Source organism: Homo sapiens, chromosome 5 (genome assembly GCF_000001405.40).
Source record: "Homo sapiens chromosome 5, GRCh38.p14 Primary Assembly".
Taxonomy (NCBI): Eukaryota; Metazoa; Chordata; class Mammalia; order Primates; family Hominidae; genus Homo; species Homo sapiens.
The window spans coordinates 152,423,232-152,446,074 of NC_000005.10; the positions used below are offsets into that span (position 1 = coordinate 152,423,232).

Consider the following 22,843-nt stretch of genomic DNA (forward strand, 5'->3'; position numbering starts at 1 on the left):
GAATAGAAGATTATGATCTCAATGAGATGTATAAATAGGTGATTTTGGAAGTAAAGTAGTTATGACTAAAGGAAAGGTCTAGGGTATGGTATAACACAGGGTGACCCAGATGAAGTAGAGATTGTCATTAGAGAGAAGATGGCCATGAAATAGAAAAGTCAGGGTGTTGAATAAATTTCAATTTAGCAAGTAGTACTTTCTGAATTGTCTTATATAGCACTGGCTATTCAGGGAGAGACTATCCAAAATAAACATTCCAAGCTTCTTCATAGAGAATGGATCCCAGATAGAGAACATCAGGAGACATGGAAGCTCTTCCCTTCTGCCACAAGTCTGGGTAGTAGTTTTAGATGTGCAGCTTCTGAAGTGACTGGATGGGATTATGACTACTGGATAGAAACAGAAATGGTGAACGTGCTTTGAAAAATTCTAGTCCAGCAGGTAGAATATACTGTGGGAAGATGATAGCAGCAAGCTGAAGTGCCATCAAGTATTTGCTGTTAGGGTTCAGGGAAAGAGTAGTAAGTTGTATAGAGTTATAGAAATCCTGGAGCAGTGACTTGTGTTGTTCAGGCAGGAAGGCAGCAATAAGGAAATCCATCAGCAGAGAGCTACAGTGGCAAGACTCTAGTTATGTTAATACAATGGCTACATCCCAGTCCTAGAATCCAGCAGCACCAGACAAATTGCCCAGCCAGAGGAGTCAGGCACAGAGTAACCAGATACTACGTACTTACTGGAACTGGGACGTAAGGGCACAATAGGAGTGGCAGCAAGAGGAACCTTATGCTTATTGTCTACTCATTTGTCCATCCATCCATCCATCCATCCATCCATCCATCCATCTATCCATCCATTCATCCATCCATTCATCCATCCAATACACATTGACCAGTGCCTATGAAGTACAAGGCCTGTGCTGCATGGTGGGAATAAAGAGATGAAGTAATATCATTGGGTCTCCCCAGTTGATATGATCTCTCTACCTGCAAAAGAGTTTTAGCTCTTTCATTCCTTCCTATTTATCTTCTGCAAGTGGAGAAGTGATAAACTTAGATCCTAAAGAAAAATAAAACTCCCCAGTCAGAGATCCACACAACACCAAATGAGTTCCCATATACTGGCACACTTAAAATCATGGAAAATGCATATGTGGATGATCAAGATGCAATTTATAGTAGACCACAGGTGCCAAACCTGATGAGAATGTCACAAATTAGCAATGAACATGTCTTTAACATTCAACTTGAAGTCTTGACCTAAGAATATATGTCAATATATTAATATTGCATTGATAAGTACATATAATATGTTTCTCTCTCCTAGGGAAATCCTTCTGATAAGGCCAAGATGCAAGCATTTATTCCTTCCCCTTTACCCTTTGGAAGCTCTGCCTTTGTTTATGCCCAGTTCATTATACAGCAGTTGTCTTCATTACCATCTCATGCTTTATGGATGGGAAAATGTTGCTATGGTGATGCTGGAATATAGGCCCGAGCAGAGACCAATGTGTACTTATCCTTAGTTAGGGGCACTAGAGCAGTAAGGAGTTAGCAACAGGAGTCATAAACCTTTTTCCTATATTCCTAACGTATATGCTTCAATGAAGGGTTGTTGGAGTTAATGGAGATGAACCCTTAGCAGCAAATGGAATGGATTCAGGTTCTCACATGGTTGTTTCATTTTACTATAATTAGCCTGTTTTTCATGAACATATTGATGAAGATTTCCAGGTTAGCAAATACATAGCTCAGTTCCTTGAAGGGCTGACAATCTTGTTTGTTATTTTCTATTGCACAGTTGTAGGCTGTACTCCAAGTATCACAAATGGGCACCACTAGTAACAGATAGAACCGAGAAATGTGTAGATGGCTTCTTGTAAACCCTTTATTACCTTTAGAAAAGCTCAGATTCATGACCTATATAGAGTAGTTAATTTGAGTGTTTGTATATAAAATCACAAACTACAGATGTTTCTCAACTTACAATGAGGTTATGGTTTCTACCAAATTTATATTATTTTTGCACTCGTAAAGTCAAAATATTTTATGTTGAGTCATCACTAATTGGAGACTGTCTATATTAGAACAGAAGACCCTTTGACATAATCTAAGCTGAATTTTTCTCTTAGAGATGAGGAAACAAGGCCTAGAGATAGAAGAGTGCCTTTAAGGGACCCAGCAAACAAGAGGCAGGTTGGTTTAGTTGAAATGAAAATCTGTTTTTCCTTCTATCTCTTTGTCTGACAAGCCCTTCTACTAGTTTCTGCTTCTTTAGTCAAAGGCTTTCAGAGAACCCATCTTTTCTTCCCCAATGGGAAGGAAATTAATGGATGTGGGAATATATCTGGAGACCCCCTTTCCCCACCTCAAATGTTAGCCTTGACTTAGTTACTTAAAGCCACTGACCCAAGCCTCCTAATGAAGCATGGCTCACTCTAGAAGGTATTGTTTATGGACCTGAAGCCTTGAGAAGATGAACAGTATCAGTGCTCAGAGCTGGCTTATCAGCAGGTATCCCAGTCAAGCTGACAGCAGGACCTGTTACTCTCTTACCTTTGTTTCTTAGTCTTTCAAATCCATTAGCATAGGGCATCATTTGATATATTTCTGTCTTTTCCTTCTAGAGTTCAAGTGCTATTTACAGTGAGTCTTTTGTAACTTCACATCCTAAGGATATCAGAGCATTTTGGGGTACTGCATTAGTTAGAATTAAACTAAGCCATATGGGTCCCCTAGGAACAGTGGTAAATCTTGGCAGAAATGTTTATCTTTTTATTAACAGAAAGATTAGTTTGGGTCTTTATGCTACTTATTTTAAGCAACTGTCAAGCCTGAAGATCTTAAGAGCTTCCTGCTTGGGAAGAGACTTAATAAGAATTATAGTTAAGGTTTGGGATAGATCAAGAGTCTTAGAAACAAATGCTGACTCCCTGTTGATAGAGAAATCATTTTAAGCTCTCTCAACCTCTGCTTTCCATTGTATAGGTCAGAATTGCATGTCTTGTCAGGATTGTTGTACAGAAGATATGGAATAGTGCCAGAGAACTGGGTAAGAAGCTGACATCTTTTCCAGTCTTCAATGAGCATCCATTTGTGTTGGGACAGTCTGGGGAAAATATAGGATGCGTCCTCCCTACCCTCAGTTCAGCTTTGAGTGTTTCTTCAAAAGGATTTTATATTTGTCAACTCACTTGACATTCCCACTATCAGGTAAACATGTAAGAGAAAACAGACTTTTTCAGGATCACCATGCACGTAATTGGGATACCTACATTTTGGTCCTAGCTAGGTTTTGGTCTAGCCCATCTGAACTTGAAAAAGTGATCTTCAAAAAATACAAAAGAATGATGTTGATCCCCAACTTAAAATCCTTCATTTGAGAGTGGTGTGGGACCACCTGCCCATTTCTTCGACCTAATTTTTTGCCATCATCCCCCTCAACCAAAGCATGTCAGCAACAGAGGAGTTATTCCATTGCTCTGACTTGCTTTTTTTTTTTTCCTGCCTCATGGTCATTACACATGCAGCTCCTTCAGCCTATAATGTTCTTTGCCCTGTGGCTTTGCGAAACTGCCTATTTTTCATATTTCAGTTCTTAGCTTAAGTGTCTCTTGCTTAAAGACTTTCCCCTGAATTCTACCTAAAGCAATATACTGTAGTATTTTCTGTTTCAGTCTTTGGTTTGGCACCTTAACAGCACTCTGAACTTGTGACTTTTTTGATGAATTTTTTTTCTCTTATATTTACCTGACTTATTTTATTTGGTCTGTCTATCATTTTGGGATGTAAAATGTTATGAAAATAGGGACTAGATCTATTTTATTTATGGTTGTATCTTCAGCACTCAGCACAATTACTGGCACCTAGTAAGCACTCAGTAAAATTTGCTAAATGAGTAAATAAGTCACTCATTCTTAGCACTTTAGCTCATCATAGGTAAAAATGTTCAATAACTGTAACTATTTTACTTACTCTTTTCCCTTCAAACAGAGAGGGCTCTTCCCTTCTGTGGTTGTCACTTTCTGGTCTCCATCAGACATGCTTCTTCTCCGTTGTCTTTCCTTTTACATGTTCCCTCTGTCTGCTTCAGGTATATGTTCAACTTGGCATGTACAACTTACTAAACTAACATTTATAGTGATAAGAGCAGTAGGTTGAAGTCCGGAAATCTGAGTTCCAGACTTAGATATGCCTTTAGCTTAAAATGTGATCCTGGATAAAGTTAGATGCCTATTTTTGGACCTCAATTTCTCCCATTTTTGTAGTGAAGAGATTGGAACTGATAAGCTATAAATATGTTTTCCACCTAGAATATTATCTAACGTATATTGCTTGTTTATCTTCTGTCAATTAACCTAGGCAGCATCATAAAATAGCCACTTCTAAAATAGTACGGGTCATCTGGATTAAAGTGTGGGTACATTCATTAAAAAAGAACTCCCACTAGTTTATATTCATGCTATAAAATTTACAATCCCTACAGAGAAACGAAGCTTCGAAATGTGTTGCCAATGAACAATATATTCAATGGCCTTGCTGTGCTGGGTGCTTTCTGGAGTAGCTGGGGAGCCACAAGTGCTGATGAAAACAGAAGTGAGCTGTGTTATGTCCTCATGTTGTTCTCCATATGCTATGTTTTGTAGCTCTGCCAGAATTTTCCCAGCATGGCTCCTCCAAATTTCCTACTTCATGTCAGATTACACACATTTCAGCCTTGGCAGGAAGGTCTGCATTTATAGCCAGTTTTGAAGATAGCAAAAATGTTTCACATATACTCAGTGTTTAATATTCATTACCCTGCACCCAGTGGCAAGACAGAGGAAGTATGGTCTTGTGGTAAGAGACGAGGCTGTGGAATTAGAAGCCTGGATTTGAATCTGACATGACTTGGGATAATGACTTAACAATTTAAATATGTGTTTCTTCATCTGTGAGAGATGTGTAATAAGAGTAAAAAGCTTTCAAGTTGATAGGGTGAAATGAAATAATCATGTAAATACTTAGCATATTCCTGGCACATAGTAACCAATCAACATGCATTATTTACTGTTTGTATTTCTCTCAGTGGTTGAGTAAAAACTGGAGGATTCCAATCCAGATCAAGATGCTCTAGTTTGTATTACCTCTTTTCAGTAGATTCACCTTCTGTGTCATCATCTGTGAAGTTGATGTTTGGTCTGTCATCTTTAAGGTCCCTTTCTGCTCTGAAATGATAAAGCAAATAGACTAATGAATATTTGGCATTATAAGAGGATAAATAATAGACATTTTAATTTTTCTGAATTATCTAAAAACTGTTGAGTGCTGATTACAAAGTATTATATAAAAGTAGTTATTATTTTCTCAGTTACATCACAGAAACCAGAAAGTGATTGTGTAGCAAAACTATGAAGTGGGTGACATTTTTAGGAAATCCTGGCCCTTGCAGTCTTCACCTCCCCTGAGATGTCTCTCTCGTACATCCTAGCTTTTTTCCTGTGCCCTCTATTTCCCTCCCCCTACTTATCTGACTCTGAGTTATATGCCTTATGTCTAAGTATAAAATGAAAGCCCTTGTTTCCTATTAAATAAATTTCATGCTCTGAGAAGCAGGGAGGAAGCATATTTCAACCAAGTTCTGTGATTGGACCATGCTTTCCAGGGCCCTGATATAATGCCAGATTGGTGGCTGCTATTTTCTCTCATATTTGACAGATCATTGAATTGTGGTATCTCCCTCAAACCAATGATATGGCCAGTTCTTTAATGTTCACACAATTCTGGTTCTGGCTTCAGCTACTGACTAATAATACATCTCATTCGCAAAGAATTCTTAGAGTTTCTGTCTCAGACTCTAAACTAAATGGTCTTAGAATGTTTCTTAACATGAACCTTCTCATTTATTGATGGAGTAATGGAGACTCTGAGAAATGACATGACTTACTTTATGTCCCCACAGCTAATAAATAACAAAATTTCCTGCAATAATACCTGAAATATTATTACATGATATATTCCTTGTAGTCTCACTGTTTTTTAAATTATTTTTAAAATTGTTTTTAATAAGAGCCTATCATTCAATTTGCATTTTTTTTTTTTACAATAAGGAGCATGCTAACCTGGTAGCAATTCATGTTTTATTCAGGTTAGTTGAGAATTTAGGTTAGTTGTTAGTGAGGTCAGAAAAGAATCCAGCAAAATTCCTGGGGCAGAAGAGAAACCAGAAGGAGAAGATACGGGGAGTACAGATTGGAATGGAGAACTAACAGTGGGCTTAGCAAGACGGGATTTGTTGGTGATCCAGATAACAGTGGCTTTCATGTAGTGGTGGGGAGAAAAACCTGCCCAAAGTGGGTTAAAAAGTGAATAGAATATGAAGAAGTGAAAAGATACTAATATTACATGTACTTTTTTTTCTCTGAAAGTGAGTAGAGAAATAAAATAGCTGGAGAGAGACATGAGGTCAATGGAAATATTTTAAATATTTTACATATATGCATATACATGTAAAATTATAACATATTTGCATGCTGTTGGTAATGATTTCATATTTAGGTGGAAATTGATGGTGAGGAGAAAGAAATGTTGATTATAGGAGTAAAGTCTTGCGTTGGTGAGAGGCAGTGAGACCCTGTAATAAATGGAAGGTTTGGCTTTCCCTAGGTGAAAAATCCAAGATTATGAGTAAAGAAGCAGACAGCTTGAGAGATTTGGTATTGAAAAGATGTAATGGTTATCTTTTGGTTACTTTGATTTTCTTGATGAAATAAGAAGTGAGTCAAGAGCTGAGAATGAGGAGAGGGAGAGAGTGTTGGTGACTGCAGGATGGAAGAGTGAATTTGTTACAGAAATGTAGTAAAATTGCTGGATAGTGCTAAAGGCCCACTCAAGTTTGACAGTCAAAAATTTGAAGAGAGACAGGTTAGACCTGTGTGAGTTTTTCTCCAGCCTCATTCAGCTGCTTGAGTGTAGTTGCAAAATAGATGGACAGTTAAGTTGAACTAAAGTTGGGGTTTTGCCAAACTAGGCTAGAGGAGAAAAGAGGAGCAAGCAATTTGGGAGTATATAAAAGGAGTGATTATACAGGTTACCCATGAAATCTAAGAAGAGTAAGGAAGGAACTGAGGACACAAAACAGGTTATGAATGGATAGTAAAAAGTGGTGAGGCCAGTGGGATGGAGGTCCTGATGAATTTGCAGGGGAGAGCAAGGCAGATTCTAAAGTTAACAGAGCTGCAAAAATAAGAGCAGATGTTTGAAAAAAGATTTAAGGGGCAATGCAGTTACTAGTAATGGCAAGGTCAAGTGGTGGCCATGGTAGTGTGTGAATGAGGTGGAATGAAGTAGAAGCCTGAAGGGGAGATAGTCAAGGATTTGGATGGAGACCACAGCATTGGTGTGGAAGTGGTCAAGTTGCTGATAGAATATAGAGTGGCGGAGGTGATGAGGGTGAAGAGGTGAGTAGTGGTGAAGAAGGGGTGAAGAATAAGATGGTGAATTTGAGACTTAGGTCTTCAGTGGCTGAGGAAAGCAATGAGGGTGGCAGATGACTGCCACAAGGCAGGAGAATAGTGGTAGAGCTTGATGGCATATGTTTCCAAAAAGGTAGGATATTTGAAGGAGGAAGGAGGCAATAATTGACTATTAATGATTGTAATGAGCATGAAGAGCACCTAGCCTTACCTCCAGGCTCTGTGTGCAATCTGGGTTGTAAAAGGAATAACAGCTGTCACTTGAAAGGCCAGCAAGGGAAGCAGTTTTTACAGGAAGAAACCAAGCTTTACAATGAACACACAACTGGTGGAGGAGCTGTCCCAGTACAGAGTATAAGTTCCAGAGCATCCAGTAGAAGAGCTGGGAGGGGCATGTTTAATAATGGCTGTGAGATCACATTGGAGATGCAAACTTATATGGGCACGATAGGTGATCCAGAATACTACTCAAATGTTAATGTATTTGAAAATCCCCTTGGGATCTTGTGCAAATTCAGATTCACAATCTTGTTGTGGGGTGGGGAGCTAAGAGTCTACATTTCTAACAAGCTTCAAGGTAAGGCTGATAATACTTATTTGAGGATCGTACTTTAAGGAGAAAGGCTTTGTAGGCTTGGACTAGTGTAAGCAGCATTAAGGTTGGAACTTGGGTAGAGGATGCCAGTGATGCGTTTGATTAAGAACAAGTGGAGCTCTGGAGCCTCCTTCAGTCTGGGAATATTTAGTAATTGTCAACATTTTTGGAAGATCAATTTTTAAACTTTCTTATCTTTAAATTTTTAAACCTTGTCTGAATCTAAAGCTCATGGGTTGACCATATATTTGTTTCAACAAGTGTATTGTCTTTGTTTCACAGGTGTGCACACATTATTTCAATAGGACTGTTTGTTCCTTAGAGCCAGAGACTGTGGGGAATAGTGGAACATTATTGGATCATGAGTCATAAGACTTAATTTCAGTTCCCATTTGTATTATTAACTAGCTATGGAAAGCAGTGGCAAAAATAATTTACCTTTCTGGTCATTTTTATGTGTGAAGTGGGGATAATCATGCCTAGCTGTCAGTGCTATGAGATTCAAATGAGATGCTTAATATAAAAATGTGTTGTAAATGGAAAAACAATATAATAACAAGATAATAATTATTGTCAGACTGGTATTTTTCTGATATATACAAGCATGGCATATTGGCTGGTGCTTGACATTATTGATCAGTGGCCATGCCACATTGGTAGTTAAATATTTTAAAATATAACTCCTGAAAATTGTGTTTCATAAATTTACTGTTATTTATTCTGTGTCTTTATAAAGTGTCAGCAGAAAAATGGGCATGAAATAGTTGTCAAATTAAAGATTTGGTATAACAAGGTGAATAAAATATATGAACACCTATACCAAGGCACACTGAGTGAAAAGTGAAAGTAATTCCAAAAGTCTGTAGAATGAGTTCTTCCTAATGTCACTTTTACCAGGAAGCATTAAGGTGTCAGTTCTTGTTCCCTCACAACAAATTTGAAAATGACCTCACTATAATTTCTGGCATTTGTTTCCTCTTTAGATTATACCCTTCACATTTCATAGTTGGTTCATGCAGGTACACTCAGACAAAAGAAGGATGCTAGGTACAGACAAGCTATGATTAACCTAACCCGTCTATTTTGTTCTGCCGTAGAACTCTCTGTTCCAAAATGTGTTATGGGGACTCATGTTAAAACTTCTTCAAAGACAGCTTGTTCTCTAACAGTAAAAAATATTTCTTTTATTTTTCCTTTTTTTCTTGGAGAGCTTGCTTTAGTGAGAATTGATTTTCCCAGCTCTTTGGAATTCAGAAAGAAAGTATGGATTTTGGGGTTCAAATTCTGGCTGTACCCCTTATTAGCTGTAAAATCTTAACCAAGTTACTTAATCTCTGTAAACCTCAGGTTTCTCATTGGTAAGACTGTCATAATTATAGGATCTTCCTCACATGATTGTTGTAAGAATTGAGACAATGTGCCTGAAGTAAGCGCTAGTCACTATTAATGACTGTGCAAGAACCTAGATAAAAAATTTGTGTCCTGAATTTATAAAGTCTCCAAATTCAAGAGTAAAAAACAAACAAACAAACAAACAAAAAACACTTAAAAATAGGCAAAAGGTTAGAACAGACACTTCATGAAGTAAGGTATACAGATGGAGAATGAGCATATAAGGAGGTTTTCAACATCAATATTCATTAGGAAATGCAAATCAAAACCACAGTGAGGCACCACTTCACACTTACCAGAATGGCTAAAGTTCTGACAGTGATTATCAATAGCAATACCAAGGAATACACAAAGTGTTAGGAGGATGGAGAGCAAACAGAGGTCTCATACATTGTTTATAGGAATACAAAATTGTAAAACCACTTTTGAAAAGCGATTGTTAGTTTCTTCATAAGCTAAACATACCACTACCACATGACCCAACCATGCTTCCCCTGGCCACTTACCCAAGAGAAATAAGGTGGCTGTCCATACGATGCTTTACATACAAATCTTTGTGTCTTTGTTTATATAGCTCAAAACTGGAAACAACCCAAATGTCCAGCAACAGTTGAAAGGATAAACAAAATGTGGTACATCCATATAGTAAATACTACTCAGCAATAAAAGGAAATTAATTATTGATATATGCACCAATGTGGACGCATCTCAAAATAATTGTCCTGAAGGAAAGAAGCCAGACAAAAACAGTACTTATTGTATGACTCATTTTATACGTAATTTTAGAAAATGCAAACTATAGTGACAGAAAGTAGATCAGTTGTTGCCTGGAGATGGGATGGGAAAGGCGTAGAAAAAGGCAGGAAAGGGAGATTACCAAAAAAATAAGGGGAAGCTTTTAGGGGAATAGATATGGCCATTATGTGTTGATCATAGTGATGGTTTTACAGGTGTATACACATGTCAAAACTTATCAAATCGTACATTTTAAACATGTAGAGCTTGTTGTATGTCAATTATACCTGAATGAAGTTATTAAGAAAAAAGAGACTCTCCATATTTTGACCCCATCTTATTAGCCTTGTTTATTACTGAATCTTTTATTCCACTGAGTCTATAACCATATCACTTGTAGGGACTACCCCAAAACATTTCTTTCCCTTGTCCATTAAACATATATTCACTGGGTCCCTGTTATGAAACAGACCTTAGAATAGGAGTTAGGCATCCATCAGTGATCAAGACAGTCCCAGTTTCTTCTCTCTTAAGCTTCACAATCTGGTCAGAGACATAAACAAGTCCACGGTTGTACAGTTATGTACATTTATTATTATTGTGTTTATTATTATTTTTATATATTTAGGGGATACAAGTGAGGTGTCTTATATGCATACATTGCGTAGTGCTGAAGTCTGGGCTTTTAGTGTACCCATCACCTGAACAGTGAACATTGTATCCAATAGGTAGTTTTTCAACCCTCACCCCCAACCCTCCCACCTTTTGAGGTCTCCAATGACCATTATTCCACTTTGTACTTCCATGTACTCATTATTTAGCTCCCACTTATAAGTGAGAACATATTTGACTTTCTGTTTGTGAATTATTTCACTGAGGATAATGGCCTCCAGTTCTATCCATGTTGCAGCAAAAAAACATTATTTTATTTTATTTTTTAGTGCTGAGTAGTATTCCATGGTGTGTGTGTGTGTGTATTTTTTTCTTTTAATCCAGTCTTCCATTGCCTGACATTGATTCCACGACTTCACCTTTGTGTGTAGTGCTGTGATAAACATATCAGTATAGGTTTTTTAAAAACCATATTTTGATTCCTTTCCCTTTGGATGTATACCCAGTAGTGGAATTACTGAATTGAATAGTAGGTCTACTTTTAGTTATTTGAGAAATCTCATACTGTTTTCCATAAAGGCTGTACCAATTTATCATTTTTGACTACTTAGCCTTTGAACACCTTGATGTTATGAGATAATCTTCCAGTGGGGGTTGCTGGGCCTCTTGCACTTAAAATTTAATATAACTTTCAGTGTAATTATTTGAAATAGTCTCCCATCATTTGAGACCTTCTCCCATTATTCTTGAATGATTTAATGGGCTTATTCTTAGTCCATTGCCACTTTTTGAAAGACAAAGTAACAGAAAGATTAAATGCATGCGTTCTGAAGTCAGACTGCCTGGACTTAAATTCACCTCTATCACTTGTTCATCTACTTAACTTCTCTTAGTATCGCTTCCTCAGCATAATAATTGTACCTGTCTCATATAGTGATTGTGAGGGTCATTGGGATAATTCAAGAAGTGCTTTGAACATTTCTTGGCATATGGAGATGCTCAAAATATATGAACTGTTTTCATTATTTTGGCTTCCCAAGGTAGCTTGATACCTATATAAAAAACACTCCAGCCAAATGTGGTCAATAATGCTAATTGGAAAGCAACACTGACCTAGAACCTTGGAGGGTGACTAGATAGGTGTGGATTACATTATCATAGACAAAAAGAGACAGAAATTCAGAGAACCAGTCAGGTGAGACCAAAATACATGTACTTTTGAACCCCAGAACAAAAGGCAGAACAGAAATCGAGGTAGTCAAAATTCAATCAACACAGGGTAGGTAAAGCAAGCCTATAAAGAGCTTGCTTTTCAAGGTAATGAGCCATGCTTATTTGGGTCATGATTATGCAGATAGGAAAGCTAGACTCAAGCAACGTCAAACTGAATGCTAAAATGGTAATTTAATTCTGAAATCAGTGTTGTCCCCCACTGAGGGGATCCATTTTATAGTTCTGTACTGGGTAGAAGTTAATATTGTGAGACCTAAGCGGGTAGTGGGTAAATGACTTCCATGGCTAAGAAGAGCATGAGACTTGTGGTAACAGACAGAGGAAAACACACAGAAAGTACAACTTTTGAAATTCATCTTCTTTATTCTTTTTTAAAATTAGCTCATTCTCATCTTAAAACTCAAGATGCAGTAGAAATTTGAATAGAGAAAAAAATAACTAAAACAATATTACCCATTCTCTGAAAGCATATTAACTTGGTTGGCTCTTTAAAGAAAATAGAATATGAAAGGGGCCCATATTCAGAGATATTACGCATAGTGCCATGGTGTCACTTTTAAAACCATCATATAGAACATTCAATACTTAAGACATTTAAGAATAATGGAAAATTGGTTTTTCTCTTAATGAACACGGAGCCAGAAAGGACCCTTTGTCATCATGCAGGTTTTTTTTTGGCCTGTGGACTGATTGGCAGTGTTATCTCAGAATGCCCAGTGGCACATCAGCATCTATGTGCAGAGCCCGTTCAGTGTTGAAAGGGCATGCATGGTCAGTGACAGGAAAAGAGTGGAGGGCTTTTTGCAGCAGATCAATTGCAATGACAGACTTCACTGTTTGCCAGATCCCAGCAAGTGCCTCCTGCATCAGAATCTCCCTATTTCCAAGCTTCTGCTGGGAGGTTGGTTAGTAGCAGACAATAGATAAGAATAGAAAGGACGCTGACTACAGCCCAGAGGTGAGTGCTATCAGAGATAATTATTAATCCTGAGGTTAGAATAAGATCTGGAACTTCAATACCATTGGAGTTGTACAAAGTAGACCATTGAATTCTCTAAGCGGTATACCAGCCTTTCTCCCTGTTTTCAATTCTCCCTCATTTACTCCCTACATTCATCCCCTCCTTCATTCTCTCTCCTGTGTTTCCAGGAGCCCCTGGAGAATCAGGCACTGGAGAGATCCCAAAATGACTTAGAGTCATTTCCTACCACTGAGAAGCACTGGACAGGGAGTTAGAACAGCAGCTTCTAAGGATCTAGATGACTTAGCAAGGCTCTTTACTTCTTGAGCCCCTAGCTTTATCTCAACAAAAACCTAGGAACTGGAGATGGTTTTATGGTCTTACAGCTCTGAAAGTTTACTAGGTTTTAGATGTTATCACCTATCATAAGCAAGGCATTCACCTCAGAATGTCATTTTATTCTCATGAAAGTGAAACAGATAAGTACAATTTTCTCTCTTATTTTACATATGAGGGTATCAATACTTGAGGCTGAATAAACTGCAGAAGGGTGCTCAGACAACTAGTAAATGGAAGAATTAGAATTTGACTCCAGGCAATCTGACTCTATGCATGGCCGATATACTATATGGCTCTTTTTGAAGCCAGTGGGTTTGTTTTATAGCTGGCATGGCTGGAACTAATAGAAATAGCACAGGTGCATGGGCTCTGGTGTCAGAATTGCCTATGTTCAAATTAGAGTCCTATCACACTTTCTTTTTCTTTTTTTTTTTTTTTTGAGATGGAGTCTCGCTCTGTTGCCCAGGCTGGAGTGCAGTGGTGTGATCTCGGCTCACTGCAAGCTCCACCCCCCTGGGTTCATGCCATTCTCTTGCCTCTGCCTCCCGAGTAGCTGGGACCACAGGCACCCACCACCACAGCCGGCTAATTTTTTTGTATTTTTAGTAGAGACGGGGTTTCACCATGTTAGCCAGGATGGTCTCGATCTCCTGAACTTATGATCCGCCCACCTTGGCCTCTGAAAGTGCTGGGATTATAGGCGTGAGCCACCGCACCTGGCCCATCACTTTCTAACTAAGCATCTTTGGGCAAATTATTTAACCTCTCTGTGCCTTAATATCAGACTATCAATGGGTTAATAACAAATTTTGGACTAGAAATCATTGCAATACTGAGTTTTGCTTTACAACTCAATAGCCATTGATTTTCTGACTCCCAGAATATTCCCACTTTTCCTATTTCAGTGCCATAGTGCCTGAAATATCACCATTATAAGGACATTTCTTCAAGCAAAGCATTATCCTTTCAGTAAGGTTCTATTATTAACTATAAAATAATGGCTAGGACTGAGGAATATACTATGCTAGGAAAGATATGAATAACTTTATGCCATCATCTCACTTATTCCTCACAAATAACATATAAAGTATGTACACATACCATATGTATAATAATAATTATTCCCAATTTACACATGGAAAAGTGAGTCTCAGAGAGATGGCCAAGATTACACAAATTGTAACTGGTGGGACTGTGATTTGATCCAGGTTTCTGATTCTAGAATTATTCTCTAAATGATTCTGACATTTTGTTACTAATAAATATGCCTGGAAATATCATAGAGTCATGAACGTATATACATATACATATATATATATATATATGTTTCTGTTATTATTTCCCCCATAAGAGGAGGAACCAGAACAGTACAAAGCATGTGGTTTGTGGAGCCAATTAAAAAGAGAGAGTAAAGCACCTGAAAACCAACTTCCTTTTGCTGAGGAGGACTAGTTCTGGAGATAAATTCTCTTTTCCTTGTTTGACTTTGTACCTCATGCTGGGGTTGCTGCTGAGAAACATGGCAGACCTGTTCCAATTAGCATTATAGAGGCTCAGGGCTGGAAAAGAATTTGGAGAGTGTAGCCTTTAATGCTTGTCTGGTGACGGCATCCTCTTTTTAACAACATGAACTTTTTTTCTCATTTTGTCTCTGCTGTCACGCCTCCCTGAACGTGAAATCACTACATCTTTTAGGTGATCTCTTTGACAGTGGTCAGCTCTGCGTCTTAAAGCTCCTTTTTTTAATCTTAAGCTTGACTTTTCCTTTTGTTCTTTCCTGTTGATTGGCAAAAAACAAGCGTGGTTGTTTTTCTATACTATAGTTTTATATATTTTTGGAGGCAGAGATGACAAATCACATACTCTGCCTTTCTGTCTGGCTGCCATCTTTACTTAAAATCTGACTTATTTATCAGATTTTAACTCAGCATCACTTTCCTTCAGAAACCTGCCCATGACCCAGACAACACCCTTGTTTTATGCATCCACAGCACCCTGAATTCTCTTTTGCAGCCCTTTGTTCACCAGCAATTATACAGAGATAATTATTGTTTCTCACAAGGTATACATTCTATGAGGGGCAGGGACTTGCTGTCTAGTTCACACATGTATACTAGTCACTGTGCTTATGCATTTTATTTACAAACTTCTATGGAGCATCTCCTGGGTATCAGCCATGGTACTTGTGAACAAGATAGATTTAGTCCCTCAGCTCGTGGAACTTATAGTCTAGTGGAGTTTTTCATTCTTTTTTTTCCCCAAGTTTTTTTTTTTTCTTATAGCAATTGACAATAAGAAAACATTGACGTATGATTTCAATCTATGGTATTTTTCTAAGTGTAAATTGATTCAGAATGGTAGTTTAGACATGTGTTTATTGCCATGATTTAGTTTATGAACTGCACCCATCTTCATTTCTAAGAGTTAAAAAACTGGGGCTGGGTGGTTGGACTGACAGTTGCACAGATGGACTACATCAATTATAGCATCACAGTGAATTGGGAGCCATTCATTGATTTATCTTTTCAGCATTCATTCATCTTTTCTCATTCCCTTTGCAGTTCTGGTTCCACAAGTCTTAGCATTTGGGATAATAAAATCTTTGGCCACAGTGTAGGCCAAAGATTTGGGGTCAGAGTGGCTTGAGTTCTATAATATCCAACCTATTTACTAGCTGCGCAAGCTTGGACCAAACTAAACTCTCCAATTTTTAGTTTTCTGAGAAATATCAATTCCTGCTTCATAGTTGTTTTTTAAAGAGGTTGAAATGAGAAGTAGTAGTACTAATACCATCACCACCACTACCACCACCATCATCATCTAACATTATGTGACACTTATTATGAGCCAAGAACCGTTCTAAGGACTTCCTATATATTAACCCATTCAATCATATCTATGAGATAGATACTAGTATTATCCCTATTTCACAAATGAGGGAAAGGAAGCACATAAAAGTTAATAAACAAGCTCAAAGTCTCCCAGCTGGTAAGTACAGATCCAGGAGAGAGACCACAGTGTCTGGGTCTGCATTCCACGCTCCCAGCAACGTGGCTGTAGATGCCTCTGGATAATGCAAGTAGTGCACTCAAGAAGGTGTTCAGTAAAAGGTGTCTTTATGTAGTTAATACAGGTTTGTGACAGCTCAAATTAGTTTGCCCCACTTTTCTTAGGGGATCTTACCAGATAAGAGAAGCGTTGTGAGCATGATGCACTACTTATTCATTCTCTTGCTCAAATGAGCCCTAAACCCAGGCTTGTACCTGCTCTAAGTGGTCAGATTAACAAACTAAAAGGAATAAATACGTAAAAGAAGGAATCAGGCATGGAATCTAATAAAGGGAAATGAGATTCTGACGTGAAAAATATCTGCAAGATAATAGAGTTTTGTTCCTGAGTCTTCCACACACGTCTCTTGGCTCTGAAAGCAGAATTGTTCATCAATGTCAGTTACATCACAGTTCAGTGTCCTCTTGGTGTCCATCACACCAAAAGCTTTTGTTATAATAGCAAGCAAGAGATGATAGAAATGCCCTGTCTCTCAGTTTGAAACTGATTTTGCAAAATTTTGTTTTTATAAAACACATCATAATGTTATTGCTTGAAGAATACAGCATATGAAATCACAAGAATATCAAAATGAAAAGTCACTAGGCTTGAAACATATAATACATTATCAGATGCAGTAAAATATTAACTAACCTGAACTCTGCTTCAGAAAAAAAAAAAGGTGTGGAAAATATCTAAGTTTTTTACTTCAGAAACAGATAAAATAGAAAGTATAAGGATGTTACAGTACAAATTAGAAAAGCCAACACACATTAATTTATTATTGTTCTAGACTAGACTACCTTTGGTACTTAAACTTTTTAAAAAACAATTTCTTCTATCTCATCCAAACGCACTTAATGGGTATGACATCCATGAAGTAGCTTCAACTTACAACATTCAGCAAAATTAACCTTTTCACCTCATGGGGGAAGTATATTTAATAAATGTATAACAACATTTCCCTTTTACTAAAACTGCAAAATATGATCATTAAGAAACCTAATACTTATAAAACTTTACTTACTTAGCTCTCCAATTAAAATTGGAATCCTGGCAGCCACAATCTATTTGTGGGCTTGGTGAATACAAAGTTTTAAAAGATTTGCCAACTGACATAGGAATTTAATTACTTCATACTATCTTAAGCGAATTTTCCTTTCTGTTTCCAAAATATAGACACTATGCCATTTCTTCAACATCCTGGATTCCTATAATCACTACCATACCTTATTTATTAGAACCAAATTAAAGCCTCTCTCTTTTTTTTTTTTTTGAGATGGAGTCTCGCTTTGTCACCCAGGCTGGAGTACATGGCGCGATCTCGGCTCACTGCAAGCTCCGCCTCCCAGGTTTACGCCATTCCCTGGCCTCAGCCTCCCGACTGGCTGGGATGACAGGCGCCCACCACCACGCCCGGCTAATTTTTTTTTTTTTTGTATTTTTAGTAGAGACGGGGTTTCACCGTGTTAGCCAGGACGGTCTCGATCTCCTGACCTCGTGATCCCCCCGCCTCGGCCTCCCAAAGTGCTGGGATTACAGGCGTGAGCCACTGCGCCCGGCCAGCTTCTCTCTTTTAAAAGCAGGTAGAAACTATTTATGTTTCATATAGGGCTGATCAGTTATAACACAACTTATGTTTCATATAGGGCTGATGAGTTAATTCATATAGGGTTGATGAGTTCTAACGTAACTTCTTAAGCAAAACTAATCTTTTTTTAAAGCTATCACTGAATTATGATGGAGACAATAATGTCATCTCAAAAGGTAATGTTGGACTCTAGGCCATCTAGTCGGGAAAATGTAAAAGTAATTCTAAAAACAGTAAGTAAACTATAACTACAAGTTAAATTAAAAATCCCTCTCTAATAGCAAGCATGCTCATTAACTTTCATTTCTTTCCCCCAGCAAAGGTTTGAATATTCATGAACCTCAGTTAAACCAAGGGAACCAAAGCAATTGTTTCAAAAGTCCCACCTATATATTTGGATAATATGAATGTGGATAGACTAGGCAAGTAATACTATCAACAATTATTGAATTGGAGTGAAATAGTAAAAATCATGACAGACTTCCAAACTGGGCAGTCTTTGAAATGTCATAGTGGAGCTCAAAATGAATTATGCCATAATAAAGCTATAGTTATTATCTCTACACAAAAGAAAAAATAAAAAAACATAACCACCAAATTTATACAACTACTATTGAACGTACTTCTTCCTAGTTTTTGAATGTCTTGAAGTTTTTCTAAACAAGTATATTTATCTGAGCATATATGTTTATTGCCTGTATATGTACTCATTTTAAAAGACAAATTCAGATATTACAGAACTGAACTCTTTTCACCAACCTGATCTAATATCTACCGACTTCACACAGCAACCCCCTTAATAATTTAAAATTCACAAGTTTTAGTTTAGTTAAAAGGGCAGAGGAAATGCAAATGCAGATTTAGAGCTTTGTATAAATTTCACTGTATTTTTATAAACTTGAAGTTTTCTGTAACACTGTTTATTGATGAAATGAAGGACTTGCTGCTATCTAAAATTTCATGAACATCATTAAAAATTTAAAATTGATATTATACTGAACCTTAAATTTTCAATAGTTCGAAGAGACAGTTTTTACATGTATAGCACACAATAGATGAAACTTAATAGCAGGCATCCCTAGAATACCAATGACAAGTCCACCAAGATGCATACGAAATTACAGATAAGCACTTCTTCCACTGTTTTTGTTGTGCAGGGAAAAACATTTATAGAAGAAATAGAAATTCAGCTGATGAATTTCAGATATTAGCATCATCTTCAAAAATTTTAACAGTGAAAAATTATGACAATGAATGAGATCTGACGTAACTGACTCTATCTTGCCTTTAACCTCCAAACTACCCTTGTTCATTCCTGGGCATAGACCAAGCTAAATTCGGGAGTAATTTAGTTTATAGCTTAACTTTGAAACAAAGATGATAACAATTCCTCTTTGAAACAAACACCGTCCTTGCTTGGGGACCAGACTGCCTTTGAAAAACTAACAAACTAGCCACAAGATCTAAAATTATGGCTCAGGAGTCATGCAGTCAAGAGGTCACAAGATTCCCAACCTCCCCAATTGCTCTTATAGATAACATTATGATTGTAAAACCTAAGATTGGTGTTTGAGGTATTTTTCAGACCCTGCATTCTGATGGATTCACTGGTACCATCAAGACCAGTAAATGGACTCATCTGGTCTTGTGGCCTCCACTCAGGAACTGACTCAGCACAAGAGGACAGCTTTGACTCCCTGTGATTTCATCCTGACCCAATCAATCAGCCTTCCCCATTTCCTAGCCCCTTGTTTGCCAGGCTATCTTTTAAAAACACTAGCCTTTGAATTTTTAGTGAGGCTGATTTGAGTAATAATAAAACTCAAGTTTTCCATTTAGCCAGCTCTGTGTGTATGAAACTCTTTCTCTATTGCAGTTCCTCTGGCTTGATAAATTGGCTCTAACTGGGCAGTGGGCAAAATTAACCTGTTGGACAGTTGCAGTTTCATATTTTCTTTTTTCTCAGTAATTCCTTTGCCACCTTAAAACGTCTTCCTGTAGTCTGGTTAAGTTAGTACCTTTTGGATCTTACCTGGTTAACTGGTAAGCGCCTTGCTTAGGGTCCCTGTCTCATGATTATCTGCCATGCCCAAAATAGAACCTTCTACATATTTATTGCCCACTTCAACATCTGAATATTAGAATTTCAGCATTGATAGGGTCCTTAGAGGGAATCCATTCTGACCACTTTATTTTGCAGAGCTTAGGGTGGTCAAACAACTTGCCAAAAATCATGTATTAAATTAGTGATAGAGATTAGATTTAATAGCAACATTTTGAGCCGGACACCAATTTACAGATGACTTGAGGGACTACTTAATACTTTTTCCCTCTTGTTTACAATTGGAATCTTACAGTGAAACAGGAGAGGAGTGAGTGGTTTCAGAAGAAAACTATAGAAAGGGAAGGTATGAGGTTAAAAATGAAATACATATCATTGCCTTTTATCTAGAAATGGTTTATATTCTGATAGCAGTGAAGATATCTAGTATTTCTGGACTAGCCAGGTCATAATCAAGGGGTCAGGGAGCAGAGATTGTGTGACCCCTTAGGGAAAGTCTGGGGAGGGAACACCTGGCATCTTGGTGATAAGGAAAAATCTCCTTTTTATCCTTCTTTTCCATAAATGGTTTGTCTTTTTCCTTCTGTCAGGCCTGTGCATATACAGAGTTTCTGTAACAGAGCAATGTTTTTTCATGGTCATGTTTTAATTCATGCACACTTAACTCAGACTTTGTAATGTGCTTTGAATTTGGCATCGAACGTTTGGTTTTGTGACCTAGCTCTCCTATGACATGTAAAATATTGGGCAAATATTTAAATCCCTCTGAGTATTAGTTTCTTCATTTCTGAAATCTCTAAAATTATCTGAAAAGTGATGATTAGCTGACATAGCCATTTTCAGGCTGATTTGTTGTAAATCAGTGTTTTTCAAAGCTTGGTTTGTAGACCATCTTCATCAGACTCTCCTGCAGGTATGCAACAGAACTGCAGATTCCTGGGTCCTCCTCTGGACCTTTAGACTCAGAATCTCTGGCAGTGGGATCTCAGAGTTGGTATTTTACCAAGTGATTCTGATGTGCATTTAAGTTTAAGAACCACTAAATAATTTGGAAACATGCTTCATATATTATAAGATATTATATAAATGCAATTTTCAGAAAATGTATTTTTTCCACTCAAACTGCCCTGGTCTTTGCCTTTCCTTGCTAAAAAAATCTCTCTAGAGAACCACCTCTGCAGGGGTCCTGGGGGGCATCTAAACAGCCTAAGGACACACGGACAAAGGCAAACAGCCACCTGAATGAAAACTCTGTAGTCTGCTAAGGCTTGACTCACCAGCCTTTTAAGAAAATGCTATAATGTTGTGGAGTGCGTGTAATATCTGGATGGGGAATCAGGCAGGGAGATTCAGACACGTCACTGAACAAAAAATCTCTGCAGCTAGAAGAAAAGCAAAATGAAGTTAAGCTCGGTGTTTCATATAAATGCAAGACCTGCACTCTAATGTTTAAAATGTTCAGTTTGTTTACACACAGAGAGTGAATACGAAATGTATACCTTTATTATCTTTTGATTAGATTTCTATAGTCTCTCAATTACTGTCTAGTTGGATGACCTTCCTTGTATTTATTTGTACCTCAAAGTTGGGGAGGAAAAGCTGGGTCAAATCATTTCCTTGCCCCCAGAAAGACTCTGCTGGCTTGGCTGAGCTGGGAAACACCTCACATGATGACATGAGCAAAGCACATGGGCTGGGGCATCACCCCCTTGTCCAGCACTATCTCATCCTTAAAGAAGAAATGGCTTCATAATTTGCTTGAGTTTTGTGCTACATGAAAATCTGGTGTACTCTCAGGCAGACAGACTATTTAAAAGCCCGAGGGAAATCTATGTGGGGTTTAACTGCCCATGAGTAGGGTTGTTCTGATAGGAGCTCTGACTTTGAGGTCTATTTTTTCATTCTATACTTAAAAAAATTTTTTTTTCACTAAAGAAATTAGATTTTTCTTTGAACAAGCACTAGAACAGGGAAAGCTATAAAATAGCTGGGATTTATGGTCTATCTCAGAGGTGATTTTTTTCAACTCATCTAGGCTGAAATTACTGCAGTCTTCCCCTTAGAGTTCCTTTGGAATTTGTTTTCAATTTAGACTGCATACCTGAAAAAATAGGATGCAGAATGATACTGCAGTTTCTGAGGAGTAGTCTGGAAAGATAGACTATACTATGCTTATAAACAAATTCAAACATATTTGTTGTAAAGCATTATCTAGATTGAGATTCCAATTTTCCAACTGCTCTACCTACAGGCTACATTATTAACTCTTTCTTCAGTGTGTTCCACACCAGGGTCTTAACAGACCCCCATGCTGCTTTGTAAGACACTTTCAGGAGATCCGCAGGTATACTGTAAAAGAAGAGTAGTTATAAGGGGACCTGCATTTTCATGCTGGTTCTGCTTTTCTACATATTTTATTCTAATCAAATCATGACCTTTTGTCCCTCAGCTTTCTCATCAGTAAAAAAGGGAGGAGGTTGAACTAAATCGGTGTTTCTGAACAGGTGTTTTGTAGAGCACATATGAGATACCTAAAACTAATTGCATGCATGAATCAACAATTAAGATCTTTTTAATGTGTTGGATATTCCATAACCTGATTTCAGCATTAAATATTTAGGAAATCTGTAATAACCCAAATCAAGAAGAGCACGTATTCAAAAGCTTGTTATTTGGGTATCTGGGCTAATTGGAAGAGAAGTCTGGGATCCATTAGCCATGCCTGTCATGCAGTTGGGAACAGGGAGGAGCAGTGTGTGCCCCATGTGTAGGCTGACCTGAACCTGACAAGTCCACCTTTTTGGGAGGATGCATGCACACAG

The 22,843-nt window shown here is 37.7% G+C and overlaps 2 annotated features.

Moving 5' to 3' along the window:
* Positions 3,287-3,456: an enhancer, noted in NCBI's record as "experimental_82651 CRE fragment used in MPRA reporter constructs". NCBI's record gives its function as "activates a minimal promoter by MPRAs in K562 erythroleukemia cells, with activity observed for both the introgressed and non-introgressed 5:151806164 variant alleles {active_cell/tissue: K562}" and the evidence as "EXISTENCE:reporter gene assay evidence [ECO:0000049][PMID:34662402]".
* Positions 4,236-4,405: an enhancer, noted in NCBI's record as "experimental_82653 CRE fragment used in MPRA reporter constructs". NCBI's record gives its function as "activates a minimal promoter by MPRAs in K562 erythroleukemia cells, with activity observed for the non-introgressed 5:151807113 variant allele {active_cell/tissue: K562}" and the evidence as "EXISTENCE:reporter gene assay evidence [ECO:0000049][PMID:34662402]".